Here is a 24,639-nt window from a genome sequence, read left to right as displayed (position 1 = left end):
CATTGCATAAGGTCTGGCACTTCACAGGTCTTCCATGAGTCTTCTTATATAAAAATGCACACATACTGACAGATAAAAGGATGAAGAAATAGATAGATGATAGGTAGATATTAATGATACAAGAAGTAAAAAAAATATAACCAAGTCAATTCAGTAAACAAACCTTCTACCATTTGAGAATTCATTATTTCAACTGAACACTAACTACCTGGCTAAATTAATTTTTCACTTTTTAATTGGGTTTCTTGATAACATGCATTATGTAAAGGCCCCTGGATGGATGTAAGACAGTGAGTGCTGAATCAGTAAAACCTTAGCTACATAACCAAATTTAAAACTCCTAGGTATTATACTCCTAATGCCAATTCTGCTTATTTTTATATAAAAATCACTTTGTTGGCATTAAGACTGGGACTTGAAGGCTAGGTGCTGTGGCTCACTCTTATAATCCCAGTACTTTGGGAAGCCAAGGCAGGAGGATTGCTTGATCCCAGGAGTTCAAAACCAGCCCTGGCAAAATGTCAAGACTCGTCTCTATAAAGAATTTTAAAATTAGGCAGGTGTGGTGGTGTGTTTCTGTAGTCCCAGCTACTCAGTTGGCTGAGGCGGGAGGATCACTTGAAACTTGGAGGTCGAGGCTGCAGTGAGCCATCGTCAGGCCATTGCATTCCCACCTCGGTGACAGAGCAAGATTTTGTCTTAAAAAAAAAAAAGAAAAAGAAAAAAGAAAATAAAAAACAGCAGGATTTGCACGTTGATATAAAATCTCATTTCTTTGGGACTGAAAGAAACAAAAATAATTCCTCCTAGGTTGTTCATTATTTACTTGATGTGGAGTCAGAATAAATGACTCATGTGTACTGGTTTACAGCTATGTTGTTTACTTTATTAAAGGAAATGAGCAAGACAAGGGTACTGCATATTCCAAGAGAGGTTTTTTAGCAAAGCTTAAAATTAATCATAGAAATATATCCTACTCCAATGAAGAATTATAAGTTGTGAAGTTAAGAACACCAAAAAAATGTAAAAGCCATACTGGGCATCTTCAGTGACTTAATATTATCTACTTTTTATTACAGATGTAAGCATATTGCAAATTTTATTTGTTAAAAGTCTTTCTAAAACAAGTAACAGCACTCTTGGTAAAGGAAAGGGAGTCAAAATGGATGCTGGGTAGGCAACCAACAGTCAGTTACACACATGTAAGCCCATCTTTGAAAGCCAAGTGAGATTTTTTAACACATATGTAATAAAACACATATGATGTATGTGTTTAAAATGTGGTCATTTTTGATGAGTTATATCTAACTGCTATACATATTCTGATGTCTAATATATATATGTAATTTTATCATATACATTTTTATGAAATACACTTTTTACAATTTAAAAGTCAGTTATTTCTGATGAGTCGTATACTGGCCTCTATAAAGATCCAGAGAGCCTAAGTTGAATGACCTAAATTTGGCTGTTATCAATTTGGAAAAGTGGAACTATTCTCTGGGACTGGAGTCCAGCCTAAAAAAAGAATGGTCCCACAGGTGACCATTATATACAGTATCCAGTGCTACTTGCCTTTCTGTGTTTTTTAGTGCCAAGTCTCCTGCATTCTGATTCTAACCTGTAGCAGGTTATCTCATACTACAAGGCAATATTACATTCCACTCAGGATGCCCTTTGTAGTTATTGCTCCATAATAATACTAGGAGACACTAATTATGGAGCTTCCACCAGGTTAAGTACACCATCATGCAGAGAAATGGCATACAGTAGCATTAAGACATGGAAAGACAACACACTGCTTTGATGACAAATTTTAAAGGTCATGGAACTACCATAGTTCTTATTAAGATCGCTTTACCCAGTTTCAGCTTGTGTGGTCAGTTTTACCATCCTGCTGTACTGAGTAAAATGAAGACTGTTTGCATAATATTTCTCACAAATCGATCTCTAATGTGCACTAAATTCTGCTTTAAGGGCCTGATGACACTGGACCATCTTCTGTGTTACTCTGCCCATTTTAAAGCAAAGAAATGGAAACAAAAGACATTAAATAAGGTGCCCAAAATAGCAGCCAGAAAGTGGCAGAGCTGAGATTTGAACCCAGCCTCTGTGAACCCAGTCCCAGCCTGTAGGATGGTACACTGGCTTCCTTTTGTAATTGTTAATGCTCCCAGTGAATGAATCTTTAAATTATATTCTATACACGTTTTTCATAATTTAGCAATCATTTTCCCCCCGAACTTATTAACCTTCTTCAGCAAACTTTGCCCATCCCAGAGAGTCAAACACCCTTCCTTCCTAATGAAACAAGTTGTTAACTGACTGGCAACCTAATAAGGTGATAATGCGTGATGATCGCTTACTGTGCTCTTCTTCAAGACAGCATATTTATATTTTAAAAGTCTTCAACGCCTTCATGCAAAGAAAAAACATATTTCTGGGATTTCTGTATAGGAGGCATTTTGGAACTAGTGTGTTTTGCAGCCCGCTTCAAATCACACCACAAATTCAATTCGGTAAATACTAATTGAGGTCGAACTGAGAACAAAACATTGGATATTGTGTCTGCATAAAGGTTGCCTGCTTAGCTCTTCAAGCAAGCATGCCACAATTACAGTATAGCACTCACCTGTAGGGCTTGGCCCAGTCCAGAAGCCTCCACCTGCAGAAAACCTCCCGCCCAGCTCAGTTTAAAGAGAACGGTCCCTTCTCTGCCTCCTACAGAATTCTTTATCTAGAGCTCTTGCTTCAGAACTCATGTTATACTTTCTTGTTTTGTCTCTTGAATTTTTTTCTTTGCTACATGATGAGGTGGCTGCCAGTATAATGGAGCTCAAACTGGTTTCAGTGACCCAGATGTGAGCAAACATAAATTCATCCACTGACTTTTCTGTAGGGCAAGGAACCCCTAAGGGATTGTCCAGCTCACAGAGTCATCAGTTCTTGGAAATTTATATCATTGTTCTTCTAGTACAGCTGTTGATTTTGCTATAATTGTAGCATTTCCTTCCCAGTTTCTCCATCTGATTCCAGAAAGTACAAAAACATAAATCATCCTCATAAGTTAAATTTACATTTGACTGCATATATCAAGAAGAAAACAGTGGCTCAAAGAAAATCAGAGTTTATTTCATTTGAGGTTAATGAGAAGTCTGATATTAGGCAGTCCAAGGTTGGTATCTTGCTTCTAGATCATCAGAGGCCCAGAATTCTTTCTAGACTTATACTTCCCTCTCCATAGACTGTAGCCTTAGATAGCCTTAATGACTTTAAAAGCTCTAGCCATCACCCCTATGTTCCAGGGAGAAGAAAGCAGGGACGGTGAAGGGCCCATAATTGTGAAGCCGGGCCAATTGGAAAACTCTTGTGACTTCTGCTTTTGGTACATGGTCCAGGACAATGTCACATGGCCATTATTAACTCAATGGAGGCTAGGAAATGTACTGTTTCTAATTGGGAATATTACTTCCTCAAAAACAAAAACAACAAACCATAAACACCACTGTATTTAATTAAGAAAAAGATAGTGAATATTGAATGCTGGATAGGCAGTCCCTGCCTCAACTCTCTTCTAACAAATAAACTTTCTTCTTCTCTACACCTGCCTTCAATTAAATATGTACACAGTTTCCCCTTTAGAACAGGTTTTTATCACCAAGGAATCAGACTTCCAGGGTTCAACATTAACATTGTATCCTTGGACAGATTACATGATATCTTTTGGGCTCAATTTTCTTATTTATAAAATGGGGATGAATATAGTGCCTGCATATTGTAGATCAAAAAGGACAGTAATCATCATCGTCATCACGCCCTTCACTGAGCGATGGGGTCTATTTCCCTTCCTCTTGAATCTGAGCTGATTTGTGACTGCTTTCTCCACTAGAACACATTGAAAATTATTCCCTGCCAGTTCTGAGACTAGCTTTCAAGAGGGCTGGTACTTTCTGCCTACTAGAGAGACTGTGGAGAGGTCCTCAGACTAAATGGAGCAAGAAAGGCCAACTGAGCTCAGCCCCCAGATATCCCCATCAAGGCACCCAGCATGTGAGCAAATTCATTTAGATCCTCCAGACTATCCCAGCCACTAGCCATATATCACCTAGCAACTGAGACTTAGTCAATGTCACAAGTAGCTGAAGAACTCTAGTAGGATCCGCCTAACTTTCTAACCCACAAAATGGTGAGATATTATAAAATGGATACTGGTTTAAGCTACTAAATTATGAGGTGGTTTAATACACCACAATAGATTCTACCACATACTTTTTTTGTGAACATTAAATGTAATAATGAAGGTAAAGCTCTTTTTAGCTCATTGCCTGGCACATGGTAAATACACAGCACTTGTTTATACACTATATTCTAAGATCTAACATGTCTGTCGGTAGAAGGAGACTCCCCACCCATGTATGTCTCTATACACTTACCAGCTTATGACTAAGGCTGTTCTAATTAGTCTTTCAGCTAGCATTTTACTTTGATTCAGCTCTTTTTATTACTCCTTCAACCTTCCTGCACTAATGTATTGTCTATATAAAATTAGAAGCTCTACGAAATGGGGTTTCTGCCTTATATGCCTTTTATTTAAGGCTACATCACATAGTGGAATAAACATATTGTTGGCATCAAGCAAATCTGGCTTTGCACACCACGTCAACCAATTGACGAATGGATGGTGACTGTTACAGTTTAAATTTGCTCTGAAGCAGATACCAAGGCAGGCATTAGAGTGCAAGTAGTTTATTTGAGAAGTGAAGAAAGCACTGATAGGGTGGTGGCAGAGATAAGGAGGGGAAGGAAACATTAAGGGAACCAACCAGCACTGGACAACGAGAGCTTAAACTCACTAGGAAAACTCCAGGAGCCAGTGAAGAACACAATCAGACTTATCTCTATGGATGGTGAGGGAGCTAAGATATTAATGCATCAGCTCACATTATAATTGGCTGAAGATAATTCCCAGGAGGAAGCAAAACCTGGGCACTTCCGGATTGCCATATAGATAGGGAAAACAAGCTTCTATGACCAGAGAAAGATTTTAGCAAAATTTCAAGTGTGGAGGTTGTAACTGAGCTGGTATTGAAGTGGTAAAGTCAGGGGCTATGATAGAGCACCAATAGCATGTACTAGAGAAAGCTTGGACAAGATACTGAACATGGATTTTCTCACCTCTCAAATCAGGATAAAAATAATAAATCTAAAGAGCTATTCTCCTAAAATCTATGTATATTATTTCTAATACTCCCAAAGTTCTACCCCTATAGAATTTACAGATATAAGTCAATAGAGTTGGATAAATAGCTTTGGTGAAATAAATGCCAGTTGACTAAAACTCAGTAATTCTTCTAAAAAATGACAGTATGTGACTGTCTTTGAAATATTTATTCCCAGCATCCTAGCACATATAACAGTGGCGATAATACTGTCTTGGTTTAAATCACTCAAATACTTTAATAAAAACAAAAAAAAATCACTGATCCAGAGGACAAACCTTATCTGAAATAATAATAAAACCCAAAAGCACTTGCTACTATTTTTATCATAGCAATTATTGGCATTAGCACTAACAGACAAGAAGTGTGTTTGCATTTTAGTTTAATCAATAAACACCAGCTATATCATAAAGGAGCACTTGAGTGAATGCCTACAAAAATATTTTACATTAAAATCAAAAGCATAAAATTTAGAAAAGAGCTTAGAAAAGAGCTCTCTAGGAAAACACAAGGAAAATGCTATATTTAAGAATCCTATCTCACTCCATATTCAATAAATGGCACTGGGATAGCTGACTATCCATACGTAGAATAATGAAACTGGACCCCTACCTTTCACAATATACAAAAATTAACTCAAGGTGGATTAAAGATTAAATGTAAGGCTGGGTGTGGTAGCTCAAGCCTGTAATTCCAGCACTTTGGGAGGCCAAGGCGGGCGGATAACTTGAGGTCAGGAGTTGGAGACCAACATGGTGAAACCCCGTCTCTACTACAAATACAAAAATTAGCCAGGCATGATGGTGCATGCCTGTAGTCCCAGCTACTTGGGAGGCTGAAACAGCAGAATCACTTGAAACCTGGGAGGCAGAGGTTGCAGTAAGCTGAGATTTTGCCACTGCACTCCAGCCTGGGTGCCTGGGTGACAAAGCGAGATTCTTTCTCTCAAAAAAAAAAAAAAAAAAAAAAAAAAAAGCTAGACCTCAAACTATAAGAATCCTAGAAGAAAAGCTAGGAACACCATTTCAGACATTAGACTTGACAAATAATTTATGACCACATCCTCAAATGCAATTGTGACAAAAACAAAAATTGACAAATGTAACCCAATTAAACTAAAGAGCTTCTGCACAGCAAAAGAAATCAACAGGGTAAATAGACAACCTACACAATGGGAGAAAATATGTGCAAACTATGCATCTGACAAAGGTCTAATTTTCAGAATTTATAAGAAACTTAAATCAGCAAGCTAAAAACAGTTAACCTTACTAAAAAAAAAGGGCAAAGGACATGATCAGACATTTCTTAAAAGAAGACGTACAAGTGACAGACTTATGAAAAAATGCTCAACATCACTAATTGTTAGAGAGATGCAAATCAAAACCACAATGAGATACCATCTCATATGAATCAGAATAGCTATTATTAAAAAGTCAAAAAACAACAAACATTGATGAGGCTTGGAGAAAAGAAGAAGCTTATTCACTGTTGGTAGAAATCCAAATTAGTTCAGCCACTGTGGAAAGTAGTTTGGAGAGTCCTCAAGGATATTAAAACAGAACTACCATTCAACACAGCAATCCCATTACTAGGTATATATTAAAAAAGAAAATAAATTGTTTTACCAAAAAGACACATGTGCTCATATGTTCATTATAGCACTATGCACAATAGCAAAGACATGGAATCGAACTACATGTCCATCGATGGTGGATGGAAAGGGAAAATGTGGTACATATACACTATTGAATACTATGCAGCCATAAAACAGAATGAAATCAAGTCCTTTGCAGCAACATGGATACAGCTGGAAGTCATTATCCTGAATGAATTAACACAGGAACAGAAAACAAAACACTGCATGTTCTCACTAATAAGTGGGAGCTAAACATTAGGATGGACAAAAAGATGGCAACAATAGACACTGAGGACTATTAAAAGGGAGAAAGGGTTTAAAAACTCACTGTTGAATACTATACTCAATACTGGGTGATGAGGTCAATCATATCCCAAACTTGAGCATCATGCAATATACCCAAGTGACAAACCTGCACATATACCCTCTGTATCTAAAATATTATAAAAGTTAAAATTATTAAAAAAGAAAAAGAAACCAATCTTCTTTAAAAAAAATCATTGATGACTTCTCATTGCATTTTAGATAAAGTAAAACAAAAAACAATCCTGGCTTTTCAGGTCTTGGACTCGCCTGTCTGTCCCATTCCACCTCCACTGCCTGACTTTACAGGGCCTGGCTCTGCAAGACCAGGCTGTACACGGGGTCTCCCATGCCAGGAATGAAAATGTGGTAAAACAGAGAGAATAGGAGGTGTGAAGTTTCTTTTCTGCCAAGTTTTCTTTCTAGAATGAATTTCACAGGAGTTCCTTCTTTCATCCTCATTTTCAGATTCCCCAGCTATAATTGCCTCCATATGGCACCTAAATATTTAGCAGTCACTGTGCACTAAGCGGTATGTGTAAAAGCATATAATACATACATACACAGCTATTTAATCTTCAGAGCAACTCTGGTAGGTTGCTATGATGATTCCTGGTTTTCAGATAAGAAAACTGAGGCCTAGAATCCCACATCCCTGGGAATCCCGCAGTCTTGAGTAGACTAGCATGACTGGTCACACTAGTAGGGATCCTAAAATCAGGAATAGGAGTGCAAGCATTTCCCCCTTGAATTGAAAACATGTCTACCACCTGTGATGCATTACTAATCAGAAGAAGTGTATTATGAAACACATAGAAGCATAGACAAAGCACAAAGGCCCATGTTTCAAAGTGGGAGTGATAAGAATATTGACAACAAAATGTTCCTGCCTTCAAAGACCACACTTTAGGAGGGGCAGGTTGAAGGAATCTGGGACTCAAAGTTGGAACTAAGAGCTTACACAGCTTCAGTCACCACAGTACTATAAATTAGGAATTTCTGTCAAAAAGATTTCAGGGTCCACTTAACAACCATACTTCAGAGTCCAGACTACAATGGAAGTTGGTGGCATAAGACTCCAAATTCCATATTTTTTTCACTATGCCAAGAAAAAGGAAAAAGATTAAGAGTATCCAGGATGACCACACACAGAAGTAATGATATATTTCAAATGAGAATGAGAGCTCATTAACAGTCAAAGTGGCTGGGTATGTGTTTGCAGCCAGCAGTCAATGAAAGGAGCACTTCCATGGGAAGCCCAGGACATGTGGTCAGTACATGCACAGGTGTCAGTTATAAAGGTAAGGAACTATGCCTCCCGGTGAGGTAAGCAGGGGGAGTTTGGAATTCCACAGGATAAAAGTATAAAATATCATAAGATATTCACACTTGTGTTTACATGTGATTATTAAATGCATGTTACTGTTTTAACTGTAAATATCATCAAGCTCAATTTCTTTTTCATCACCTACTGAAAAGTAGGTTTGCTTGCAGCCCAGAAATTTATCAATTTGGGTCAGCAAATTGGGTTTCAATTCTCTTTTTCTCCCCTTTTAAAAAGTAGCATGAAATATGACTTTGGGGTCAGATTTGACATCAGAATTTTCAAAGCCAAAGTTCATAACATTTTCATGCATCACAAAATCATATAATGTTCAAAACTAGAATAAACTCCAAAGATCATCTGGCAGTCTCTGACATTTCAAAGAGGATAGATTTGCAACCAAGAGATGTAAGGCAGCTGCTCACTGTCACAGTGCTCTATGAGTGCAGAGACACTCCTGCCTCCAATTCCACCACTTGCCCCAAGTCTAGTTGTTAACAAAATCTCCTTGAACCACATATTAGAGAATAACCTTGGGATGTTACCCCATGATTATCCTTATCCTCATTAACTTATATTTGAGAATTGATAGGGTAAAGTGTGGCATCCCTGATCTTGGATACACAAATGTAGGATAATTAAAAGAATAAATCCAACCAGAATCATCTTTAAGTATCTCTTTGTTTTGACAAGGAGAATGGTAAGAGTGTGGGAAGCACAGTTTGTAATATACAATTTCCTTGATTGATTCCACTGGGCTAGCCCTCGCGTGTTAATGGCTTTCAAAAGGCAACAAATCCCCTCCCAGAGATATGCCCAAGATAATTAAAAACAGGTATTTAAATAAATACATATATACACATGTTCACAGCAGCCCTATTTATACAACAGCCAAAATATGGAAACAATTCAAATGTTCATCAAAGGACAATAGATTTTTTAAAAAACACCCTGACATATGCATACAACATATTATTCAACCATACAAAGGAATGTAGTACTGTTACATGCTGCAATATTATAAATATCAAAACTATGCTAAGTGAAAGAAGTGAGATACAAAATGTGACAAATTGTATGGTTCCATTTATAGGAAATATCTCAAATAGGTAAATCAATACAGACAGAAAGCAGCTTAGTGGTTTCCAGGAGCTAAGAGGAGGGGTGAAGATGAGATGTGACTGTTTAATGGGTACTGAGTTGTGTGTGTGTGTGTGTGTGTGTGTGTGTGTGTGTGTGTGATGAAAATGTTTTGGAGCTAGATAGAAACAATTGTTGCAAAATATTGTGGATATACTAAATGCCTCTGAATTGTATTCTTTAAAATGGTTAATTTTATGTGCGTTTCACTTCAATAAAAAATAAAGAGAGGGTATTATAATGGTCTGAGGATGTGTCAAATTGAGCAGGCTATAGTCCCTACTTATTCAATCAAGCCCTCATCCAAGTACTGCTGTAAAGGTATGTTGTAAACGTGAATGACATCCACAATCAGTTGACTTTAAGTAAGGGAAATTATCCTAGATAATCTGTGTGGGTCTCATTCAATCAATTGCAAGACCTTATGAGCAGAATGGCTTTTAAGACTTCCCAAAGAAGAAGAAATTCCACCTAGGGGCAGCAACTTCCACTCATGCCTGAGAGTTCCAGCTGCACTTCCTGATGGCCTACCCAGTGGATTTCAGACATCATACCTGGCCTCCATAACTGCATGAACCAATTCTGTGCAATAAATCTCAATATATTATCTCCTACTAGTCATGCTCCATTGGTTGAACCCTGACTGATATGAGTGGGTTCTACATTTAGAAGACTTAGCATCCAAAAGTCTTTTGTTCTTTCCCAGCCAGCTTCACAGCAATTCTCTCGCAAGTAAAGCAATCTTAGAGAAACAGAAAATAGTTCGAAAAAGTACCCTTTATATCCCCCAAATAACTATACTGCTTGGAAAATGAATAAAGAAGTGCTATGAGACTGAGGGGTTATTACAGGTAGGTGAGAGTAATGTTGATAGATGAGGCAAGGGTGCTCACCAAAAAATGAGACATAAAGGGACTTTTACCTAGTAGACCCTGACATCCACCAGCTCTTGTCTGCACTACGACTTTCAGAACCTCTTTCTCTCTAAGCAAGCGATGGGAAAGTTTTTTTTATAGGAAATGTGCCTGTCCCAAGATAAATGAGCTAAAGATAAAGACATTGGAGTTATCTAACTAAAGGCCCAGCCCTACTCTTCAGGGTGGCTCCAAGGCAATGCATTCCAGACACTTCCTTTTGAAACATGAGCACAGTCCAAGATCATCAGAAGCATGAGTAAAGCCTCTAGCAAGAATGAGAGATCACATGATATAACAGAGAAAAAGCAAATTGGGAAATGTGACTACTCAGAAAAGAAGCAAAACACATGGGCACACACATGGACATGCATGTCCAGATATGAATACATACATACACACAGAAAGGAATATGCACATACACATACAAACAAATGCACACACAGAGACATGCATGTACAAGTATTCCCATACACATACACACAGAGAGAAACATGAATGCACACATACATATGCATGCAAAACACTGACATACATGTGTACAGGACTACACATGTGCATGCATACAGACATGCATGTACAGATATTCAAATACACATATACATAGAAATATGCACATATAGGTACACACATGTACATGCACACAGACATACATGACAGATATGCACATACACATATACACACAGAGTGGAACATGCATGCACACATGCATACACATATGCACGTGCATGGGCATGCATGTACATGTATTCACAGACACTATACAGAAAGAAACATATGTGTACATGTACATTTGCAAGCACAGACATACATTTACACACACACATATACATGTGCCTGTACACACACAGACATATGTATATACACAACTACGCAGAAACATAGATATCCAGATATACATATATACAATACAGTTATAGCACACAGTTGCCCACACGTGTTTATGCATGTGGACACATGGACATATGCAAGCATGCACCCATATGCATATACATGCATGTACAAACCCACGCACGAATATATGTGTACATGTACCAATATGTGTACACACATGGACAAATGCAAACATACACATATGCGTACACATACATACCTGTACCAGGATGTACATCACCACACATGGACATACATATACATGTATACACACAAAAAAACATTGCTATACCCAGAGTTATAAAGAAGATAATTTAAACTGGAAATTCCATATTAAACTCTGAAAGCTTAGCTTGGTGTCTCCGTGTATAAAAGTTTCACTCATGTTTTGAGAAGCACTCTACCCACACACATGACCAAAGCCCCTATCTCCCACCTCAAGCCAAAGTAACCTCTGCAGCTCCCAATATAAAGTAAGCTCTTGTTAGAATTGGCACATACAGGCTGGGCACAGTGGCTCACACCTGTAATCCCAGCATTTTGGGAGACTGAGACACATAGATTGCTTGAGCCCATGAGTTCAAGACCAGCCCGGGCAACATGGTGAAAGCCCATCTCTATACAAAATACAAAAATTAGCTGTACTTGGCAGTATGACCTTGTCTTCCCAGCTACTTGAGAGGCTGAGGTGGGAGGACTGCTTAAGCCTGGGAGGCACAGGTTACTAAAATCATGCCACTGCACTCTAGTCTGGCCAAGAGAAGGAGATAGTCTCAAAAAAAAAAAAAAAAAAGAGAATGGATGATATATATTGATATGGTTAGGCTCCGTCCCCAACCAAACCTCATCTTAAACTGTAGTTCCCATAATCCCCATGTATTTTGGGAGGGAGAGAATTGAATCATGGAGGTAGTTTCTCCCATCCTGTTCTTGTGATAGTGAGTTAGTTCACATGAGATCTGATTGCTTTATAAGGGGCTTTTTCCCCTTCTGCACTGCATGCCTGCCTCCATGTAAGATGTGCCTTTGCTCCTCCTTCACCTTCTGCTATGATTGTGAGGCCTCCCCAGCCACGTGGAACTGTGAGTCTTCTAAACCTCTTTTTCTTTATAAATTACCCAATCTCAAGTATATCTTTATTAGCAGTGTGAAAACAGACGTACACATATGGAACTTCCTGTTCACAGACCTAAAGCAGCTGATGTGATCTGCATCTGAAATGTGCATATTTGCAGGACTTCTCTCTGATGAAGACAGCATCTCTGCATACGCTAGACAGAGTGTGTCATCCTTCATAGAGAAGATCTGGCCTTCCACCCAAAATCAGTAGGGAAACAGGACCTTGGTTACACATAGTTTTACTTCTGATTTCTCCTTTCTCTAGTCTTTTAATGATGCCCTTTGAATACAAGTTCCATGCTTTAAAGATCAATTGTTCTGTAATTACTGCTTGCACACAATTTTGGGTTTCCACCCAGGGCACTGAATATTTAAGGGAATAAACAATCCCACACCCCCCTCCTGTCATCTCAGCACACCTGGTGCTCTATGCTGCACCCCGGCAGAGACTCAGTGAGTGCTGGTCAGTGGGCTGAGTGGTTCATTCTCGCTCCTTTCTAACCTCACCTATTCAAACCACAGCATATCCTCAGGGATGTTGGCCCCTGAACTCAGCTGTGGCTAGGCAAAGCATGAAACTCAGTTGTTCATCTGGCATTCAAAGCCCTGGGTCCAGTTCCATTAAACTATTCAAAACCCCTGAACTGAGTGTGGCTTAGGCGACAGGCTGTGCTGGTTTTCCTAAGACTGCTTCAGTTTTAGGACCTATAATCCCACATCCCTGGGAATCCCGCAGTCTTGAGTAGACTAGCATGACTGGTCACACTAGTAGGGATCCTAAAATCAGGAATAGGAGTGCAAGCATTTCCCCCTTGAATTGAAAACATGTCTACCACCTGTGATGCATTACTAATCAGAAGAAGTGTATTATGAAACACATAGAAGCATAGACAAAGCACAAAGGCCCATGTTTCAAAGTGGGAGTGATAAGAATATTGACAACAAAATGTTCCTGCCTTCAAGGACCACACTTTTCCCAAGGAAGCAGCTACATACACAGATAAGAAATACAAGTCAGGCAATGGTAAAAAATTCAAGGCTGGGAGAGATCTGTCCCATGCAGCTGTGGACTACTGTGGACATCGCCACAGTGAAGGCCCCCAACTGGACTCTCCTCACAGCAATCCAATCCACTTCTCTTCCCCCTGTTCTTGATGACAGGGATTTCTCAAATCCAGAAGCAGCTGAGCAGGACTGGAGAGCTGGCTCAAAGGAAGAGGGTAAGGTATCAGCTTTATAATCCATTGTAACTTATGCCCCAAGTCAGTAAACTCGGGCTCAGGCCAGACCAGAACGAATTTATTTCCCTCTGTAATGACTGGAAAAATCTGCTGTAATTTCCTTTCCTCTTGTCCTCTCCATTCCTTCCCTGGGTACTCTGCCACCCACCTACCCAGTGAATTACCCAAATCTTCCAATTCTTATTTTACAAACTGCACCTGCACCTGCTCCCCTGTTCCATTGCTATCTCTTTCGTATCCAAAGGTTAGGCATTAGCATAGCCTGCATACCAGTCTCTCTTTCCTCTATCTTGCTTGTTACTAACAAGAGAGTCTGATAACAGCAGCTCTGACCACGAGAGCTCCTTTCCATGCTCTCTCCTCTCTACACAATAGATTCTGAATGCCTTTGCAGAGCACTGGATGTCCTCTGTAATATTCTCCCAATGGACTGTTCTTGTTTCCCTTGTCTCCCTCTACTCTGCTGCATGTATGAAACCCTCTCAGATGGCCTATTTACTGTTTCTATCCTACTATCTTTGTTTTCCTACAGTCTTACCTGGTTCACACCATTCCTCCTTCCTGGAATGTACTCCATCTATTGAGGTCAAACCTGTGCTTCAGGACTAAAGTCAAGGTGATCTTCCACACAATAACATTCTGGGTCATCTCAGCTAGAAATGATCTCTTCTTTTTATGAATATTAAGCACACTCCATCTGTAAAGCACTTATCAAAACTATTTATATCCTAATTAAATAAATGTCTTATCCTCACAGATACTTGTTTTATCACTTTGGGAACAAAGATCCATAGGCTTTACTTCTTTAAAGTTTTCATATTTTCTCTTATTATATCACCTTGTATATAATAGGTATTCAATAATGCATTCAATGAATTATCTACAAACAATGTTAGGGAGCAATTTACTGATTCCAAATATTTATATAATGTTTATCTTTTATGGGAGGCATGCTCTGTGCAAGGCTTATATTCTATGGAATCATTTTGAAGAAAAAGGTAAGAAAATAAGTGAGAAAGATAAGGCATATATTCAAGTCTTATATATGATTGATTAGAGTTGATTAGAGTAGGCAGCAGTTGATTTTAAGGGAATTAACTAAAACTAGAATTTCCTAGGTAGAATGATTTACTTATTTATTTTCCTCACTAAGAAGCAGGCCATGTGATTCTTTATCAAGAAAAAGGCAGAGAACTTTAGAATATTAACCACAAGACCCTAGCTCTGACACTGATCACTGGCAATGATAATTGTGCAAGTGTAAAGGAAAAATACACAGATTCAGGTCAAATCATTCTTAGAAATGGATAAATGGCATATACAATCATTCCTAAGTGACAGTGAGCTTTACGTTATGTTAATCTGTTTTAAAACTCAATTTATTATCATTAATGGCATCCTGCAAAAATAAAATCTTGGTAGACTAAATGAGTAACCAGTGGCCACACAACACTCCTCGAGCCTCAATTCCCTCTCCTTCTGTGTGGGAAAGCACCTAGAATTCTAATCTGTGCTTGTTCCACTTGTTTCTTTCAGCTTCTGGCCAATACAGTGCTTCCATTCTCACCAAGCTTCAGAGGGGTCCCTATAAGGCCGCCGCAGGGAGTTCATTACTCTTAGCTTGGATCCTTTTTACTTCATTACCTTGTCAACATTGACATTTATAACACTGGCCCAGATTCCCCAGGCAAAGGGCAAACAAATCAATAGCAGAGCCATCGGCAAGGAAGAGGGATATCAGGCAAAGAAAATCAATAGGCAGCATGGTTGTATGATCTTATTAACAGTAGCTGCTGTTTTCAAATACCACTAAGCGCCAGACACTTCACAGGCATTATCTCATATCTTCAAAACAAATAAATAAAGCAAGTATTACTACTCCTACTTTACAGATGAGGAAACCAAGGCTCAGAGAGGTGATGTTAGTCATGACAGAGCTAAGAAGCAACCTTTCTATGGTTTGAGCTCAGCACTGTCTGACTCCCAACCCATTCATTTCCCATCTCACTACCACACACATTCGTGAGAAAAATACATTGTAAGAGGAAGCTGGAGATACTCATCCAAGTCTGGGAGGCAGCTAGCTGCACAACATTGGGCCCAGTCATGGGTAGTGTGATAACCTTTCAGGTAACCACAGTTCTAATATTTATACATTATACATATATGTGTGTGCATGCATGTGCCTGTGTGTGTTTTCCTTCAACATACATTATAGAACATGTAATATGTGTCTGCCAATACAGTAGCAGGGAAGATAAAACCGTAAATGAGGCTGGGGTCTTGTCTTTGGAACCTCATGACTACCCCATGCTGAGAAGTGGAGAGGGACAGTGGTAATGTCTGGGGTGTTTAAGCATCGGACTGGATTTGATGATTTTAAGCTTGACTGACTCACAAAGTATAACATGATTATAACCCATCAGAGGCAGCTTGACTCCTGAGGAAATAAGTTTAAATAATTTCAGGTGGGTTTTGGTCTAGTTAACTCTTTTCAGATGATTTTATCAAAAGTATTATTGGCCAGGTGTGGTGGCTCATGCCTGTAATCCCAGCATTTTGGGAGGCCGAGATGGGCAGATTACTGGAGGTCAGGAGTTTGAGATCAGCCTGGCCAACATGGTGAAACCCCATCTCTACTAAAAATACAAAAATTGGCCGGGCGAGGTGGCACACACCTGTAATCCCAGCTACTTGGGAGGCTGGGACAGGAGAATAGCTTGAACTCAGGAGGCAGAGGTTGCAGTGAGTGGAGATTGCACCTGGGTGACAGAGTGAGACTCCATCTCCAAAAAAAAAAAAGAAAAGAACAACAAATAAAAAAATAAAAATATATTGTCCACACTACCACCTCCACTGTTTACCAATCATCAATTAAAGTCATGTTAACACCTTGCCTTATCCATTCATTCCCCTAGAGTGGGAGAGAAGAGTAAAATTTAAGCTTTGTTACATAAAGACTAGGATACCTTTAGCTGGAAGGCAATTAGAGTCCAAAAGGGAAAATGCTAGGTTGGATGAAGTGGCTTCTTATATTATTATTATACTGGTGTTACAAACCTTACTGAGCTGTTATTAAATGGCAGGCATCATCCTAGGCACATCATTTGCATTACCACCAGATTTTTGGAATTATAATTGTCATAATAACATATACCTGTGTTCTAATTGAGACGACTGAAGTTTGGAATATTTAGTAATTTGTCCAGGTCACATTAGTCAGTGGTGAAGTCATAATTTGAACCCAGAGCTGATTCCAAAGCCTGACTTACAAGAAATGTGTCATCCTCTCTCCATGATTAAAGACTCCCTCACTCTACCTCTACTTTTAAGCCCATTAAGTCTAAAAAGACAAACTTTTGATGCAGAGCTTCTCAGCAGAAAAATGAACTGTGCATTGTGTGAAATTTTCATATCATTCCTTAAAAACCAAACTGTGGCAGGATTTATTAGGAGCTTGGAATCCAGACACTTACTGGTTATGTGATATTGAGAAAGTCACTGAACCTCTGTGACTCAATTTTCTCATCTATAAAAATAGAAATAAGAATGGTACTTATCTCCCTGGGTAATGACCAGGGGAAAAATAAATTAGCATAAGGAACGAGTTTAGATTTAGCATACAGAAAGATATTATGAAATAATAATACTAACAGTAACTACTAGTTTTATGATACTATTGGTATTAGCATGCTATAAATATTATACCATTTTTAGTACTATTATTTTGTAACAGTGAAGAAAATCTAATATTTAGCATAGCCTACACGGGATACTTCAAAACCTTGAAAAACTTTAATACTACCAACAGATCCCACCCAAATAACTTTCCTTTGAAAGAATTAATTTTTAAGATAAGCAAGATCTTTAGAACAAGGACAGTTTTTTTGCTGTTATATTTGTTTGTTTCACACATTGTGTGGCCATAGTAATGCTCAATAGTTTTTGCTTGAGAACGAATTTGAAGTTTATATCAATGAGAGTCATGTCATGTGACTTCTGGGCCACCACACAAAACATCCTTCACTATCACAGTCAGGCAAAGATGTGTAATGTCTGGCAAATCCGTGAAGGCCACCCCTCTTAGAAGGAGATTACTAACAGCTCCTCCCAGCTGAAGACAGTCTGCATTTGGAAACAACATATCATTGATATTTTTACTTCATTCATTTTTTTAGTCACTAGTATAGACAGAGCAGGCAAGTGACGATATAAAATGAGTAACTCAAGGGCATGCTATTCATAGAGTGGTTTCACTCTTAGAAAAAACAGACAACTTCTACAGAGCAGTGCAGAGCATGGAGCACGCTGGCACTGCTATCATGAGGTGATTCATTTAACACACAGAAATAAAATTGCATCTTAAATCAGAAGATAACACACATTCCTGTTGCATGAGGAGAAACTAAATCATCTACTGAATTTCTCTGTGGGGAAAAAATGTAACTTGTTATTGTTAAAGGAAAAAAATAACAAAAATCCCATCTAACCCAGTTGCAATTCAGTGCTGGTTATCTACAAAGTAGAAAATATAAGACATGCGTGTTTGGGAAGTTAGGATGATTACTGACATCTGATATTTCAGGATGCTCTAAAACACACCATTTATTTCATGATGCGGAAGGTCAAATTAGATTAACGAATCTAAAATACTTTATTACCCAAACAGACAGTATCATTAAAAATTATCTGGACAAAATATAAAGCAATTACACACAATGTGAGGATTTGAGTCTGAAAAAGGCTGTGGTTTGGAGATTTAGTATTTACTAAAGAACTATGTATGACCATAAACAAAATGAAATATAATTTGAGAAGCCTATGCATTTAAAATGAAATAATCTTTTAGAGGAGTCACTTTGGAAGCTATAAACTTGTTCTAAAGAAGATTACATGCATTTATTTATTAAAAGAGCATAGCTCAACTATTATTTTTCATACCGCAACATATTTGAACTGTTGATGCACACCGGCACAATCCTTTCCCCAAATGAGCCACAATTCCTAGCCCATGGCTATAACTGCACCCTCTTCTCTCCTCTTAAAAAAGGGAGAGCAAAATGCAAAAGAGAAGAAGAGGTGGCATTACTAGATCATTGTTGATCTTTCTCTTTCTCTGGTAAGAACAGCTCAACTTGCTTCTGAGAAGTAGCCTTTCCCTGTTTTCAACCCATGCAATTAACGCTGAACTATCTCCACTCTCTTCACAGCCATAGCTGGGTGAATAATTTGGCCATGGCCATGCAGTAGATCCCAATCACCTGAACACTGCCATGGTCTGGGATTGGTCCTTGAAAACTCAATCCCATGACTTAACATAAGGAAAGTTTTCTGGAACTTTAAAAGTGGGAGGTTTTCTTTCCACATGGAATGTTGAACTGCTGCTACTTAAACCTGGAGTTGATGATTTCACCTTCATTACCACTGAAATCTTGCCTGCAAATGAAGCACCTCCAAGCGGTAAGCAGTCAAATGTGGAGTGAGAAACAGACAGACTGGAAAAACCCGAATCATAATATTTGAGATTCTGAAGCCAGCTGTACCTGAAGCAGATCTTACACCTTGAAACTTCTATTTTCACCAACTATTGTTTTCTCTTTTGTTGTTATTGTTGAAGCTGGTATGAGTTTGATACACCCTTGAAACAGTGCTAATTGATAATGAGTCACACTAGATTCTGTATGACTCACCATGGTTCAGAATTGCTCTTTTGGAGCACAGTTGAGCACCTCCCTGGAAGTTACACTTACAGTCACCTTGACAGACACATTAACAAAAAAGAAAACAGAAAAAAAAAAAAAAAAACCCTCATGGTTCTCTTTTACGTTTCTACAACCTTGAAAGTAAAGAAAAAAATAAGCCAACATTTCTTGAGTATATGCTAAATACCAAGTAATTTGCATATAAAGCTTCAAGAAATACTTACACAGCTCTGTGAATTAATTAAATGAATTAAGTATTACTATCCTCATTTTACCAATAAGGAACCATAAACAGGTTAGATAAATTCACCAAGGTCACACAATGGTTAACTACATGAGAGATGCAAACATGGGTCAATTTGTCTCCAAAAAGCTGAGCATCTTCCACTGTAGAATTTTGCTTCCTGGTTTAGCATTGACTCCCAGATTTGAATCATAAGAAGGCTCTGTGTCCAAAATCAAAAAGGAATTAGAGTTCAGTCTTCCAAAGTGAGCATTTTGAAGTACACACCTTTTATTTATATGCATAAATTCTTCTGTGCTTTCTATAAATGGCAGCCATAATTCAACCTCTGCAAGATGCTTGTAAAGTGATTTTATGTGAAAGCATTCAGGGTTTTCATTCAATGATACTGTAATGTTGGACAAGACACAGTAGGCTCAAAGTTTAAACCTGAGGGATTGGGGAGAATTAAAGAACCCTGTTCTATAGATGCAATCAGAACTCATTTTAACATGTCAAAATCATGTGTAAGTGCTCACAGATAGCTCTGCAATTTACAGATTAGCTGTAAATTTTATGCATCTTGAGAAGAAATTCTTTCAATTTCTGTATTTTTTTTGAGGCAAGTAAATATTGAAATCTAGATGGGCAAACAGCCATTGGAGCAGAAGAATAATGCCTCTGTCAGGTGTGAGCTTAGGCCTATCAAACTGGCAAGTAGGAGATTAACAAACGTTGGCTGCATAAAAAAATAATGCTATCAGCATGCCATGAGTGCAAATTCCATTTTAATGTCTCTTCAGAATTTGGTAGCAATAGTTTAAAGGCAGTACTATAATTCTTTTCCACCTAAACTTTAACCTGTTTCCATATGTTTAAAAAGTAGCTACTTCTTAATTCTGCAGATTGGCAAGAAGTCTTCTTTAAGAAGAGATAATAATAATAACTTAATTCTTAATTTCACCAAACAATAGTAGTTTTTGTTTTGAAATCAAATTTTCTTGATATATTTTAGAAGAGTAAAGAAGGGGACAACAGGACCAGAAAAAAAATAAATTAAAAACAAAAAAGGCAGAGTTTCTTTCAGAAGTTTCAAGTTTTTTCAATTCCTATGTCTGCCTGGCTGTCTACGCTCTTGTGACAGGGCCAAGTTAAACAGAGACTTAGAAATAACAGTGATAAAGCACACTATGTTTGAATCTGAGGCATACACATCTATACTTTCAAATGAAATAAGCAAGTTTCCAGAAACATTATCTCTTCCAAATGGATTACTTCCCTAAATATGTGCTCTCTCTCTCTTTTAATGTTATTTTTCTTAAATTCACTGATGCAATAGGCCAGAACCAAGTAATCTCTCTTGAAAGTTAAGAAATGTCAGTAAACCAAAGAATAAACCTTGCAATATCCCGTAACTTGATGGATTTGAGCATCAACATTCTTAGAGAACCAACAGTGAAGTTTTAATGTACACAATTAAATCTGCTATTTTTCATGGGCCAGTATCTACATCATGGGGACCTTCAGGAAACAAACAAACAAACAAACAAAAAACTGCTTTATTTATAACAGTATCTGTAGCACCGTGGCTGGTATAGAGTATGTACTAAACCACAGTCCTCTTTAGTAAGGAATTTTTCCTTTCTCAGACAAAAAGAAAATGAACAAACTTGCTTTTGCTTTGCAATGAAATGCTATTGATGGTACTGAAGAAAACTGAGACACTAGATTTACTACGTATGTTTTCTTTTCATATCTACCATGAAAAATGCTTTCTAGTGTTTGATTTACAGTTGGAAATGTCCTACAAAGCAATCTTTTCTAAAATTGTGAAGTTCAGTTGCATTTATCATTAATTCCATGTAGCCATTTTAATACCATCTCTTCCTGTTTTCTCCATCCCTACTTTACTCTATTTCTGATACATAGGGTTTGGTTTCCTTGTTCCAAAGGTCCCCCAGGATTAGCGTCCTTTCTAAATAATAAGCCTGAATGTTCATATTGTCTCCCTTTACCTTCTGCTAGGGAACTTTCATAGACCAGAGTGTTAAGGTTAAGTGTTGGTCAAAATCCTTCCATCTGTTCAACGGCAGTTCAAATGGGAAGGCAGCCCAGTGAGCAGATGTCTCCCATTCTTAGAACAATGAAGACATTTTATTGGGTATTTGATATGGTTTGTATCTGTGTCCTCACTCAAATCTCATGTTGAATTGTAATCCCTAATGTTGGAGGTAGGACCTGGTGGGTGGTGATTGGCTCATGAGGGAGGATTTCTCCTGAATGGTTTACTACCATCCTCTTGTTGATGTCCTTGCAATGGTGAGTAAGTTGGTGAGATATAATTGTTTAAAATTGTGTGGCACCTTCCTCCTCGCTCTTCTTCCTGCTCTGACCATGTGACATGCCTGCTCCTCCTTTGTCTCCTGCCATTACTTTAAGATTCTTGAGGCTTTCCAGAAGCTGAGCAGATGACAGCATCATCCTTCTTATACAGCTTGTAGAACCATAAGTCAATTAAACATTTTTTCTTTATAAATTACCCAGTCTCAAGTATTTATGGCAATGCCAAAATGGACTAATACAGTATTCCTCCTCAATCTTAACAGTTCTTTTCTACCTGATAATTACAAAGCACCAGAAATAAAATAACAAGTTGTCTGTAGTACCTTGCTGTAAAGTTTCAATTCACCAGCCTTATTGTTGGCTTAGCTAAAAGTGTGAAGGGTCATATGAATGCTATACACAGTGGTAAGATTTAATGAGGATTTTTTTTTTCATTTTTAACAAGAGGGTATTATTGGAACTTCCATTACACAGAGCAGGGGCCATGAAAAAGGTCTGGGCTTTGTGGTCCGTAAGCCCACATTTTCCCTCTTTCTAAGGGTGTTTTAATTTGGTTAATGATATTAATAGTAACAACATTTCCGCTAAGACTTCAACCAGAAGACTGATCTCATTCAGGTATGGAGCTCAAATTTATATTTCTTCTCTGTTCAGAAAAAAAAAGTGAGAAATTAAAATTGTCCTAAATTGGTAGTACCTCCTGGCACCTGGCAGAAGTTAAAAAAAAAAAAATCTTATTTTGAGGAGAGTGTCTTAATTTTTGATCCTTAGAGTTGTCACAAATTAATTGTAATCAATATGAACAAACGCACATGCACGCACACACACACACACACACACACACACACACACACACACACAGCATAAGGAAACAAGTTACCACAGGAAAAATTTAGAAAACAGCTAGTAACAGACTGGGACCCTCACAGACTTCAGATGTTGGAATTATCAGAGACAAAATGTTTAATAACTATTAATGAAATGCCTAAATACATAAAAAGATGGAAACAAACAAAAGAACAGAGACAACAAATTATCTTTATTAATAGCCATGCTTCAAAAAGAACAAAATATTATTTTTAGAAATGAAAGATGAAATCAATAAGAAATGATTCATTGAATGGGATTAGGCCTAAATAAGGAGAGGACTAGTGAATGTGATGCTAAAGCCAAATGAATTGCCCAGAATGCAAGATGTTATATCAAAGAATGAAAGCTATAAAAAGAGGGTAAGAAATATGATGATAGAATTAGCAAGTCTAAGTTCATATAATTTAGATCTAGAAGAATTGAGTAGATAGAATAGGAGGAAGCAAGATTTGATATGTTGAGAATTTTTAAGAACTGATGAACAGATACATATGAATAATAAATAGGAACTGGATACATAGATACATATGACATAGCGAACAGGAAACATAAAAATATCAAGTAAGATATTTTAAAAAGAAATCTACAAGCAGATACGTGATGACAAAACTGCAAAACATCAAAGAAAAAAGGATGACTTTAAATCAACTTGTAAGTAGTAGGTATGGAGGTGGTCAGAGCACCTTCAATAGCAGGACAGATGGACAGCGGACTTCTTGGTAGCAACCGGGGAAGCCAGAAAACAAGAGGACACTGATGTGCCAGTGAGTCTTTGAAACTGGCTCTTCAGTAGGAAGAGGTAGGGAAAGTCCTGGCTTTTAGCATTTCTGATATCCACAGTGTAAACCCTCCTACTACAGCTGATTTCAAGCTGGCATCCTGCCACCACTGAAGGATGCAGAGTTGGGGAGAGACATGTATACCTGGTTCTTAAAGGCCAGTGCCACTGGCTCCGTTACACCTCTGACTGATTTCTCAGTACCTGAGAGAAAATATTCTTCAATATTGCATTGAAGATCTAGCAAAATTATCTTCCAAGATTAAAGGTAAAATAAAACTTTTGTTCAGGAAAATAAATAAATAAGTAAGTAAATATGTATATGTATGTATAATGAAGGGAACCTTAAACAGAAAATAATTCAAAAGAATTTAGTTAAAAAGAAGGAAATAAAGCCTGGCAGAAGATAGAAAAGTCTGAGATACAGGAAGAAATGAGGAATGTATAAACTAGTGTCTATATTAATAAATCAAAAATAAGCAGTATCTGAAAAATATAAAAATGATTATTATTAGGACTGTGAATGGAATCAGAAATAAACTCAATCAGGGATCAGTGTTGATTGGTTCTTCCAACTGCTATTTGGGGAACTAAAATGGACATTTTTTTGACCCTACTTCAGCTAGGTTTCTGGATCAACATTACATCTGGAAATTATAAACCCTTTATGAAGCTTGAGGGCTGTAGCAAGAATCATTTTTATGCCTTTTCAGCTCTTTCTACTGGCAAGCAAAAGCAGGGGCCCGTGATGCTTTTTCCACAGCCATTTTTCAGATACCTCCTCCTTCTACCTGTGAATTTGCATACAGTATGGGGCACGAGGAAGTCATTCCAAAAGACCCCAAAAAGAACCCACACTGTAAGTACTACAACAATCTTGTAAGCAACTAACTTACGTGTTAAATGTATTTCTGCTTACCATGCATTGAGTTATTAATGTTTTCTGCATTGTAC

General features: G+C 37.9%; 1 protein-coding gene across 3 annotated transcripts in view; it reads right to left on the bottom strand.

Annotated features, from left to right (window-relative positions):
* The window catches only part of CNTNAP5 (contactin associated protein family member 5), an 895,933-nt gene that overhangs the window by 25,947 nt on the left and 845,347 nt on the right, over positions 1 to 24,639 (bottom strand). The window lies entirely within an intron of this gene.

This window comes from Homo sapiens, chromosome 2, assembly GCF_000001405.40.
Source record: "Homo sapiens chromosome 2, GRCh38.p14 Primary Assembly".
NCBI classification, from domain to species: domain Eukaryota; kingdom Metazoa; phylum Chordata; class Mammalia; order Primates; family Hominidae; genus Homo; species Homo sapiens.
This window is presented reverse-complemented; position numbering and strand designations above follow the sequence as displayed.